At 41.9% G+C, this 12348-nt stretch overlaps 1 protein-coding gene across 2 annotated transcripts in view, besides 1 other annotated feature; it reads right to left on the reverse strand.

The window, feature by feature from the left end:
* The window catches only part of RERE (arginine-glutamic acid dipeptide repeats), a 465237-nt gene that overhangs the window by 304365 nt on the left and 148524 nt on the right, over positions 1-12348 (reverse strand). The window lies entirely within an intron of this gene.
* Positions 7653-7702: an enhancer, noted in NCBI's record as "active region_109". NCBI's record gives its function as "activates an Ori minimal core promoter by ATAC-STARR-seq in GM12878 lymphoblastoid cells {active_cell/tissue: GM12878}" and the evidence as "EXISTENCE:reporter gene assay evidence [ECO:0000049][PMID:35858748]".

A 12348-nucleotide genomic window follows, 5' to 3' on the forward strand; every position in this document is an offset into this window, starting at 1 on the left:
GAGCTTCATAACTCATAATATTAATTTAAAGAGGAAAGAATCTGTAGTAAAAATTATTTCCAGGCCAGGCACTGCGGCTCATGCCTTGTAATCCCAGCATTTTGAGAGGCCAAGCCAGAAGGACCACTTGAAGCCAGGAGTTCAAGACCAACCCTGGCAACAAAGCGAGATCCCATCTCCAACATAAAATAAAATATTTCTACCTGAAAAAATAGTAATAGTTTGCAGCACTGTCAAAAATGTCTCAGGATAGGCCGGGCGCGGTGGCTCACGCCTGTAATCCCAGCGCTTTGGGAGGCCGAGGAAGATGGATCACGGGGTCAGGAGATCAAGATCATCCTTGCTAATGTGGTAAAACCCTGTCTCTACTAAAAAATACAACAAAAATTAGCTGGGTGTGGTGGCGGGCGCCTGTAGTCCCGGCTACTCAGGAGTCTGAGGCAGGAGAATGGCGTGAACCCAGGAGACGGAGCTTGTAGTGAGCCGAGATTGTGCCACTGCACTTCAGCCTGGGCGACAGAGCGAGAGACTCCGTCTCAAAAAAAAAAAAAAAAGAAGAAGAAAAGAAAAAAAAGTCTCAGGATATCGCATAGAGCACTATATTCTAAAGATATTTTCTGGCTACTTCTACAAACTCCCAGAACTTCCTTCAAGAATAAAAATAATATTTAACTCAAACGAAAGTGAGAGCTTCAGAGCAAGATTTTTCCACCTTCAGTTACATTTTACACATCTTTTCATCCTACCATTTTCAGTTATGTTCCAAGGAAAATGATCTCTCTAAAGATGTATTACTGGCCAGGCGTGGTGGCTCACACCTGTAATCACAGCACTTTGGGAGGCCAAGGCAGGGGGATCACGTGAGGTCAGAAGTTCGAGACCAGCCTGGCCAACGTGGTGAAACTCTGTCTCTACTAAACACACAAAAAGTAGCTGGGCACAGTGGCACACGCCTATAGTCCCAGCTACTTGGGAGGCTGAGGCAGGAGAATCGCTTGAACCTAGGAGGCAGAGGTTACAGTGAGCCGAGATCACACCACTGCACTCCAGTCTGGGCAAAAGACTCCATCTCAATAAAGAAAAGAAAATGTATTGTCTCTGCCTTAACAAAACATAACAGCTTCCAGAAACAAGCTTCCATCTTTCGGGAATATTAAGTGGTTTTTACAGTCTTCCAGATTTCTACTATAAATGGTATCCCTAATAAAGTACTCCCCAAAAAGAAACCCAACAAGAAAAGTCTTGAGGTTTTTAAGCGTCTGCAATGGGAAAAGTGAATCCCAAACTCCAAGCTAACACAGTTCTTACAGATATTTTATAGCAGGAAAAAATTTTGTCTTTCTAAGTCAGTTTTGGAATAGACCTAACAATAAATTTATAAATAAATAATTTATCTTTTGTTTTTCTTATGATCTTCCCCAATACCCTATCTCACTTATTCAACAAATCTTTACTAAATACTATGTGCCAAGTGTTAGAACTAAAACCACAATGGAGGAGAAAACTCATGGTCCTTGTTCTCAATGCTCAAATGCAACAAAAGGAGGCAACCGATCAATCTAAGAAGCTTCTGTTTCTCATGCAACTAGGGTGAGAAAGGAAACAGTGCATATAAACAAACAAAAGATTGGTCCTCTTTACTTGACAACCACAAACAAATCAGTTTGCAGTTACATGCTTCAGATGCAGAGAAAATTCTCTTTGGTCAGCCAGGCATGGTGGCTCATACCTGTAATCCCAGCACTTTGGGAGGCCGAGGTGGGCAGATCACGAGGTCAGGAGGTCGAGACCATCCTGGCTAACACGGTGAAACCCCATCTCTACTAAAAATACAAAAAATTAGCCGAGCGTGGTGGTGGACACCTGTAGTCCCAGCTACTCGGGAGGCTGAGTTAGGAGAACCGCTTGAACCCAGGTGGCAGAGGTTGCAGTGAGCTGAGATCGTGCCACTGCACTCCAGCCTGGGCAACGAGAGAGACTCCATCTCAAAAAAAAAAAAGAAAGAAAGAAAGAAAGAAAAAAGAAAATTCTCTTTGGTCATGCTAAAACCATAACAATTACCATATATTCTCTGCAGCGCTCTTAGGTCAAACCTCTTACCAGAAAAGACCTCCTCATAAGCATCTCAAATATCCTTAGACATTCAGCAAAATAGAAAGTATTTAGTCTTTGGAAGATAGGTGATGAAGGAGCAATCATGCATCATAAGCTACATTAGAAGAAGGAACGCATGTAGCACAAAACTAGATTACTTCCTTCTATGTAAGAAACATGCTGTTTCAAACAGGATTTCCATTTTCTAAACATATTTCAAGAAAAGGAAAAATTATCACTGCCTACAAAAGTTTTGCCCAGATGAACCGTCTGCTAAACAGATAGTCATAAACTCCCAAGTCCTGGTAGGCTACTAGTGCTAGCAACTGAAAATACAGAGACCTACTACTTCCTCGACAAGTCTTAAGTTTAGAGCATGAACGAGCCAATCATGAAAGAAAGAAAACTATCAGGCCAGGGGCGGTGGCTCATGCCTGTCATCCCAGCACTTTGGGAGGCTGAAGCGGGCGGATCACCTGAGGTCAGGCGTTCGAAGCCATCCTGGCCAAGATGGCGAAACCCTGTCTCTACTAAAAATACAAAAATTAGCTGGGTGCAGTGATGGGTGCCTGTAATCCCACCTACTCGGGAGGCTGAGGCAGGAGAATCGTATGAACCCAGGAAGCGGAGGTTGCAATGAGCCAAGATTGTGCCATGGCACTCCAGCCTGGGAGACAAAGCGAGACTCCGTCTCAAAATAAAAAACAAACAAAAAACGATCAGCTAACACCATTGTTAAAATGTTCCTCTTTGACCCTGAAAACTCATCAGTGTCTACTAGGAGTCCAAAAAGAATGAAAAGCTTGGGCTGAAAACCTCTCCACTGCAACTGCAGTTTCAGACAGAAACACTTCTGATAACTTTAAGAAAAAAAATCATTCTCCCTGGGGTTAACAAGATAACTGCTCCAGAAAACTGTGTAGAAAACATTTTTTCAGCACTCAAAGAGAAAAAATAGTAAGTCCAAATTGTACATTCAACACTACTCACTACAAAATCATACACTGTTTCTATTTACAAAGAAAATAGAGTTGTTTCTGCCAAAAGTGAGCAAGAAAGTTAAAAATTCAAGAAACAATAAAGATGTCTATAAAACAAAATCCAGTATATGTGTATATTTATAAAATCAATGTTCTGATTTATCTGAAAGTTGGCTCTATTTATATATTACATAATCTGCATGTTATATTAATATATTAAATTATATGAATAATTAATACCATATCATTTATATATTAATGACATATTTATATAACCAACTTTCAGATAAGTATGAACATTAATAATCTAAGCAAAAGTCAATCCAATTACCATTTACATTTGGCTCTAAAATACAGCTCAATGGGAATATATTTTTTTCCTCTATGTTTAGCATATGAATTATAATTCTTCTGCGCCTTAGTGTACAGTGATCAACACATACCAATGATGTGACAGATAAAGAAAGGGACCCAGAGAGGAACCAGATGGCACTGAGAAGGAGAGTTGTCACTTCAATTTGCTAGAAATGATCTACAAAGTAGACGATACAACAACAGCATCTTTATTATAGCACCATGAGGTTTACAGAGCAAGTCCCTCATTTGATTCTTCCAACTCATGAAGTGAACTGGACAGAAGTTGTCATCCTCGCTTTACAGTCTACAGAACTCAGAAGAGATCATCTGCACAAGGCCACGCAGCCAATGGGCACGAAGTAGGATTCCAGTGCAGCTGTCTCAGAGCTCAACCCTATCTGGCTTGCACAGGAACTCCTGCTGCCTGTGCTGCCAGGATCTCCAGCTCTTCACAGGCACCAACTTCTCCTACATTCATCCATGCTGATGATTCACGCAGACAGATTTAAGAAACACACTCACTCTGCCCCCAAAGCTATTTTTCTCCAGTCGGAAAGCCAAAAACATTGAAAATATCTGTGTCAATCACTACCCAACCCAGTGAAACAGGAAACACATTATAACATGCTTTAAATAAGAAAAGGAAGAAAATCTAATGTAGAATACATTTCAGATTTACAACAAGCTTCAGCTACTCAGTGAACAAATGTCAAGTGAATGCCTATTATGTGCTATTTACAGCTCCAGGTGTTGGTAAACAGCAGAAAACTCAACATAAAACCCCTGCCCTTATCTTGAGCTTATGTGCTCAGCAGTGGAGAGAGACCACCAACAAAAGGCACCATACCTAATGAGAAGATCTTACATGGGAAATCTAAGGGGGACACAGTGTTGCAGGACTGCAATTTTAAACAAGATGTTCAGGGAAGGCCTCTCTGAGGGGGCTTTGACCCTGAGTAGGAGCATTAGAGAGAAAGCCAAGGACACATGAAGGGAGGTGATTCCTGAAGAGGGGAAAAAGTGCAAGGTCCAGAAGCAGGAATGAGCCAGGCCCACTCAAGACACAGGAGACCAGAGGGGCAGGAATAGCACAAAAAGGGGGAGAGAGGTCAGAGATGAGTTCAGAGGTTGAAGGGGCAGGGGGAGGAGGACCTGGATCCTGGCAGGCCTCATGGGCCAGGGAAAGGACTCTGGCTTTTACTCAAGTGAAATGAAGTTACTCGAATGACACTTTAGCAGGGATGTGAGTAGCAAAGAAAGGCATGATCTGACTTCTGTTTACCGGAGATCACTCTGGCCGCTGATAAAACCTCAAGGAGCGCAGTGGGGCACGATCACCCCGGGAAGACAAGCAGCAGCTGGGAAGGGCTGGGGTAGTAGCAACAGAGAATGGGGAAAGTCTCATGTTTGTATGTTTTAAAGGTAAGAGTCAAATAAATAGGATGTGCTGATAAACTTGAGAGGTGAGAGAGAGAGGGAAAAAAGAAAAAGGACATCTGGCCTGGATGGATGAAGCTGCTGTTTGAGTTTCATGGGGAGACCAGGAATTTGGCTTTGAATGTGTTAAGCTTGATCAAGAAGCCTAGAAAATCACAGAGTCGAAGTTGGCAGAGGTCCAGGCTGGAGATAATAATTTAGTTTTTAAAGCCATGAGACTGAATGAGATCACCCAGGAAGTGAGTACAACTTTTTGACAAAACTTTTAAAACTCATGAGAACATTTATTGCTCACGCTTGAGTGCAGAGGATATTCAAAATAGACTTATGAGTTACACATTTCCAAAGGCAGTACCCTTAGGACTCCTTTTAAGTATATTCCTCTCAATCATTTCCTGATTAGAAGATTATACATCATCATTTCATCTTAAGTAAGAATATGTGGGCAGTTGCCAAAGCTCAAAAAATGGCAGCTTCACCTATTTAGCTGAAGGCCAGATTCCTCACAGTTTTTTGATCCTATTAGATTCCCCACTTAATCTAGGGGAAAGAATCAAAGCTTTCAGCAGAGCCAATATACAGAATTACTCTTCATTTTAGGTTACTTCAGCCTCTACAAACACCATCTTACCTCTTCAAAATGAAGCCAACACCACCCCCAAACATCTCACACTACTTCTCAAAACCAATTCAGACAAAGCACAAAAATTTCAGTCATACTCATGGTCCAAATCTCATTTAAGAGAACCACTTCCTGGCTGGATACAGCGGCTCATGCCTATAATCCCAGCACTGTGGGATAACAAAGTGGAGAAATCATTTGAGGCAAGGAGGCAATCATTTGAGACCAACCTGGGAAACACAGCAAGACCCCATCTTTACAAAAGAAAAATAAATTTAAAAATTAGCTATGCGTGGTGGTGCAGACCTGTAGTCCTAGCTACTTGGGAGGCTGAGGTGGGAGGTGGGAGGATTGTTTGAGGCCAAGAGTTCAAGGCTACAATGGGCTGTGATCACCACCACTGCACTCCAGCCTAGGGAACAGAGTGAGACCCTGTCTCTTAAAAAACAAAAAAAGAAAACCACTTCCTGTCAGTACTTAAGCTTAAGGAAGGGGCCCAGGACAGAACTGGGGATACTGGACTGAGAAGCCAAGATCCAAGTTCTTAGCACTGCCGCTTGCTGCACTGCCTTGGGCAAATCACTCTACCTGTCTGAGTCGCAGTTTCATTGCTGTAAAAGGGGACAAGACCTACCTATTTCACAATGCTGCTGTTGAGAATTACACAAGTATACTATATGTAAATTGTACTTATAGATTGCAAAGTGCTTTACAAATGTAAAATATCAATAATATGTATTTATTTCAGTCATGATTTACATCTACTATGGTAGATAATAAGCTATGGAAGATATAAAGGTAGCCAAAACACCCCTATCCTCAAGAAACTTAACTATTTGGGCGGGGGTAAAATCTATCCAGTTCCATGATTAAGAAACAAATCATGGAGAATTAACTACAAATGAAGAAAAAAATTAAAAATATTTCCTCTTGGGTCATGTAAAATTCACTTATCCATGGAAATCTGCCCCTCCCTCCTGAGTTCCCAATCCTCAAGCTCTACTCATCTCCATTGCTCAAGCCAGGCTATTTGTTAGGATGTTTGACTTTTGACTAAATACAGTGAGCGAAGTCCTCCAGTTAATTCTTCCTCACTCAACCACAGTAAGACATACTTATATTTTTCAAATGCCTGACCATACTCTAGGCATTTTTGCTTAGCACTTAGTCTACCAGACACATCCTGAACACCTCTGTAATGGACCCACTGCTCCAACTGAATCTTAGCTTACCTACTTCAAGCCATCATCATCCCTCATGCAGATGAATACAACTGCTTTCTAACAGATCTTTGTGACTACAAAACATTGTTTGCCTTAGCCTTCCTCCCATCTGTCCTCCAGTGCAGCCAGCCAGCCAGCATATCTGACGTCCCACCACTTTTTTTCATAATAGCTCAATTCAGATATAATTCACGTTCCATATGAATCACCATTTAAAGCATACAATTCATTTAAAGCATACAATGCCCACTATTCCTTTTCAAAGATTATGGGGCTGCCCCTTCACCTCTCCAGCCTCACCTCTCCCCTACTGCTTCCACCTCCACCCCTCCTGCATGCTCCTCCTGCTGCCTCAAGACACTCCTTCAGTCCCTAGAACCCAACTGCTGGGAATACTGTTCCCCGCCCCTTTGTCTGTGTACCTTCTACTGACCCTCAGAGTCTCCAGTGTTTCTGCTCTCCAATTCCAGGAGGCCTCCCAGACCTACCCAGAGTCCAGCCTTCTCTTTGCCCCCCAATCCTGCCTGTAAAATGGCCCTCATTGATCCCACTAGTGTTATCAGTTGTTAACTTACATCACTTCCCCACTAACTGCAAAGTCCACAAAGGCAAGGACCATGTCTACCATGTCATATTCCGTGAAGCAACTCCCACTCAAGCAATTTCCTCTCTGCAGCAAATTCAGGAGAGCATTTTCCTCATCATTATTTGATTATTCAGTAGCAGCTGACAGGGGCTGGCCACACACCCTCCTGGAAGGCCTCTTTTCCTTTCACTTTCTAGACACGATCCTCTCCAGGGCCTATCTAACTGCTCCCTCCACTTCTTATACTAGGCCAACCAGTGTAGAAGTTCTGTTGGGGCACTCCCTCTTTTCTCATCCTCTACTTTCTACCTGGCCAATCTCATATATAATGCGTTCATCACCAATCAGATACCAGGACACACAGGAGGATCCACACAAGTACATGTCTACCAGATCTCCCCTTCAGCTTCAGACACATGTGAAAACTGTTCACCTGGGGTCTCTTCTTGGATATCTCAAAGGTACCTCAACATGCCCAAACCAAAGGCATACTCTGCGTGCACCACCATGCCTGGCTAATTTTTAAAATTTTTTGTAGAGACAGGGTCTCATTTTGTTGCCCAGGCTAGTCTTGAACTCCTGGGCTCAAGCAATCCTCCTGTCTCCTCTCTTTAATCCCTACATCCCATCATCAACAAATTATCTCATTGTTACCTTATAAATTTCTCTCAAACTTATACCTCCAAACACCTCCAACATCACAAATCTTAGTTCAATCTACTAGTATGGCTTTCCTGGACCACTTGAATCAGGTTCTTGATTAGTCTCTTCAAATCCACTCCTCTGAACTCCTACAATTATTTTACTGTACTGCAGCCAGGGTGTTCCTTTAAAAAGGCTAATGACATTATGTCAATCCCCACTTTACAATACGTCAGTGACTCTTCACTTTGGTACATTAAAAATCCAAATCCTTATCATGATCTGCAAGGTGCTTATCCTTTTTTCGCTTCATCTCTCAGCACTGTCTTTCAGTCTACACCCAGCCACACTATCCCTCCCTCAGTTCCCAGAACACACCACACTCCTTCCTACCCAGAGTCCTTTGCTAAGGTTCTTCCTACCCTTTGTAATGCTCTTCGTCTGGCCTAGGTGCCTCCTACCCTTCCTTCAAGTCATAGCTCAACAGCAACGTCCTGAGGATAGCTTTCTTGTTCAAAACAGGTTAAATTCCCTTCATAGCATTTTCCACAACTGTAACTTTACATTTACTTGTGTGATTTGGTTAGCTTCTATCTCCACCTCCCAGCTAGAAGTTCCTTGAGGGACTGACCCTTGACTGTTTTTTGCCCTTTGCTGTATTTCCAATTCCTTAACTCACTGCCTGGCACAGAAAGAGGAATAATAAATTATTTCTTCTTCCTTCCCACCCTCTCACACATACGTTGGATCAGTAAAGAGGGCATTATGATGAGACTTGTGTTGGGGAAAGAAAATATTTCATGAATAAATAACTGAAGAGGTACTTGATTTGGTTCATAAACCATGAGTAGGATAAGGAGACGCAAAGAGAAGGCGAAAGACAGTCCAGGTGGGAGGAACTTCACTTAAGAGAGTGTTCAGTTAAATAGCAGCTACAGGGGAAAAAGAGCAGTACAAAGTAAATTTAAGTAGAGCAGGTGGAAGGGATAATGGAATGCCCCCAAAATAATAAAGCAGCCAACACTCACTGGGCACTTAATATGCACTAAGCACTTTACACATGTTAACTCATTTAATCTTCACTATAACAAAGGTGACAATGTAATTTATGATCCAAACTGGATACATCTGAGAGAGAAAAAAGACACAACAAATAACCATGCAGGAAAAACATATGAAAGCCAGGTCATATATCCTAGCTATACCCTTATTCAGTCAGTACTACTGTTATGTATATCTTATCAATGCAAAAGTAAGCACTGAGAGGCTGAGCAAGTTGACCAAACTCACACAACTATGTGTGAGACCTAGGATATGAACCCAAGCAGCTGACTCCAGAGCCTATATGCTTAACCACAAAGCCATCCTGCCTTAAATGACATGGCCTTAAAAGCCGAGTTATCCAATACAGTAGGTTAAGTGAAAAAGGTGCTGCCAGGCTACTGAGATGAAAAGAGCAGTCTAGGAACATTCATCTTATCTGGCAGTAGGAGATGTTTTCCACCAAGAGTTGTTAGTGTCGGCCAAACAAACTTACTTTCAAATCCATATTCTCTGAGAGCCTAAGTAAGGAACCGAGGTACCTCAAGTACTTTTGCCTGTGCCATTTCTGCATTTATTGTGTATCCAAAAAATGTGTTAGCATCCTCCTTTAGGAACACAAGGCAAGGAGACAGTCCACGTGTGGAAGACCTACATGAACATCTTACTCTGCTAGCCCTGCCTCCAAGAGAAGCAGCTGCAGCCAGCATGCAGCAGAAAACCAAACAGGCACCCTACAGCTGGGCGACTTGCTTCCAAAGGGAAATCAATTTTCCTTTCCTGTTGCCTTTCATATCAACATGCCTGGGAAAGAAGACGTAATGGCTTTTGCTCTGGAAAGGGAAATGTCACTCTAACACTTGTATTCACTGAATAAGAAGTAAGGCATTCTCATAAACAGTAACCTGATGTAGAGAATACTTCAAAATATGCCAGAGAATTGCAGATGAAGCTGCAAGATATCACTGAAATATGAAGTCAGCAGATCTGCAAACTCAGACAGAAATAAAACAGCTTTTTATCTGAAAGTTATGTGGTATTGAGAGTTTTTCCATGTTTTAAAGTTCTTCCACCTGACCCAAACCAACCACATAAGCAAAGAGCTACATATACCCCTGCACGATTCTCTACCTCTGAGGTTAATGAGTAAACTCAATCAATCCTGCTAAGAGTTTATATACTCATTCTCAGAATATACGGCTTATTTAAGGAACCTAAATAACTGCAATGGGATGCCCAGGTCAAATTCAAAGAGCAGCCTTTGTGGTATCAGAGCAGAAGGCAGCAAAAAATAAACCCTTTAATGAGGACTGGGTTTAATGCTGATAGTAGCACTTCCTCATCTCCTTTGAGCTTTGGGGAAACAACTGAGAGAACTAAGATTAAAAGACTCTAATAAATAAGGCTTCTCAATTTCTTCCAAAAAGACATACTAATAACAAAACACAAGACCACTGCAGAGGGTGCAAAAGTACCCAAAACAGCAAAACTCAAGGCTACAATTAACAACCCAATTAAAACCAAGTAAGAAACGATATATAATCTTTATTATTTGAAGCAAAAATTCCCAAAGATGAGGTGCCCCAGGAGGTTTCCAATAAAAATTTAAAATCCTGTCTTTCTTTAAAAAACACACAAACTCGGCTAGGTGTGGTGGCTCATGCCTGTAATCCCAGCATGTTCGGGGGGCCGAGGCAGGAGGATCACCTGAGGTCAAGAATTTGAGACGAGCCTGGCCCACATGGCGAAATCCCATCTCTACTAAAAATACAAAAAATTAGCTGGGCATGGTGGCACGTGCCTGTAATTCCAGCTACTTGGGAGGCTGAGGCAGGAGAATTGCTTGAACCTGAGAGGCAGAGGTTGCAGTGAGCCAAGATGGCGCCACTGCACTCCAGCCTGGGCAACAGAGCAAGACTCCGTCTCAAAAAACAACAACAACAACAACAAAACCCACACAAACTCATTCATACAAATAACTGCTTTCATATACTTTTAAATGTGAAGCTTTTCCAATTATATACAGTTAGCTTGTACACTGCCAACAGTTGTGTCTCTTCTACTCAGCAGGTTAAGGGAAATACACTGCTCACTCTAAACAGGGCTTCTCAACTGAACTACAATTAACATTTGGGGACAGATAATTTTTTGTTGTGGGGGGCTATCCTGTGCATTGTAGGATATTTCGCAGCATTCCTGGCCTCAACCCATACAGATTCTAACAACGCAACCCACTGCTCCAGTGAGAACTACAAAAATATCTCCAGATACTGCCACATATCCCCTGGGGAGCAAATATGCCCACAGTTGAGAACTACTGCTTTAAACAAATTATTTGCCTATTGCAGAGATTTCAAAGGGTTAAGCATCTGTGTTGCTTCATGCAAAATTATGCTTCACTAATATGCAATCCATAAAACACCATTACGAAAACTATAGTCTGCCATGTTCTTTGTTCTCTGAAATAAACTAGACAAATTCAAAGTATTGCTTGAAACAGTAATTCCACAGATGTTTGAGGGTGAATTAGGAGAACATAATCAAATATCCTGAAAATTCTGTTGTTTACTGGCAAGTCCTGAAGCTTGCTAGGAACAGAATTACTCATAGGTGACCTGCTCTGGTCATGGGGTCAAGTGGAAGCTTCCGCTGTCACACAACTAAAGAGAAAACCTGGTGTCCACAAATGCCAAGGGCAAGGGAAGCCAAATGCCGATGAAACCAAATCCCTGATCTTGAAAGGGGAAAAGAATCCCTAAACTCACTTTCCCAAAGCATGGCTGTAAACAGAAAACCAAGTGGAAAAGATAAATGCAAAACACAAGCAGATGGGTAAATAAAGTGTAGTATACATACACACAATAAAATATCCAGCAATAAGAAATGAGGTACAGATATATGTTACAACATGGGTGAACCTTGAAAACATTATGCTAAATGAAAAGAGCCAGTCACAAAAGATTAGATACTATATGATTCCACTTGTAATAAATGTACAGAAAAGACAGATCCATAGGGACAGAGAGCAGATTACTTGTTGCCTAGGGTTGCAAGGGTAAATACAGAGTAACTGCTATGGTTATGGGGCTGCTTCTGGGAATGATGAAAATGCCCTAAAATTGATTGTGGTGATAGTTGCCAGTATCTGTGAATATTCTAAAATGCACTAAACTCTGTGTGTGTGTGTGTGTGTGTGTGTGTGTGTGTGTGTGTTGTGTTTTTAAGACAGGGTCTCACTCTGTCTTCTGTGAATATTCTAAAATGCACTCAACTCTGTGTGTGTGTGTGTGTGTGTGTGTGTGTGTGTGTGTGTGTGTGTGTGTGTGTTGTGTTTTTAAGACAGGGTCTCACTCTGTCACCCAGGCT

This window comes from Homo sapiens, chromosome 1 (genome assembly GCF_000001405.40).
Source record: "Homo sapiens chromosome 1, GRCh38.p14 Primary Assembly".
NCBI lineage: Eukaryota > Metazoa > Chordata > Mammalia > Primates > Hominidae > Homo > Homo sapiens.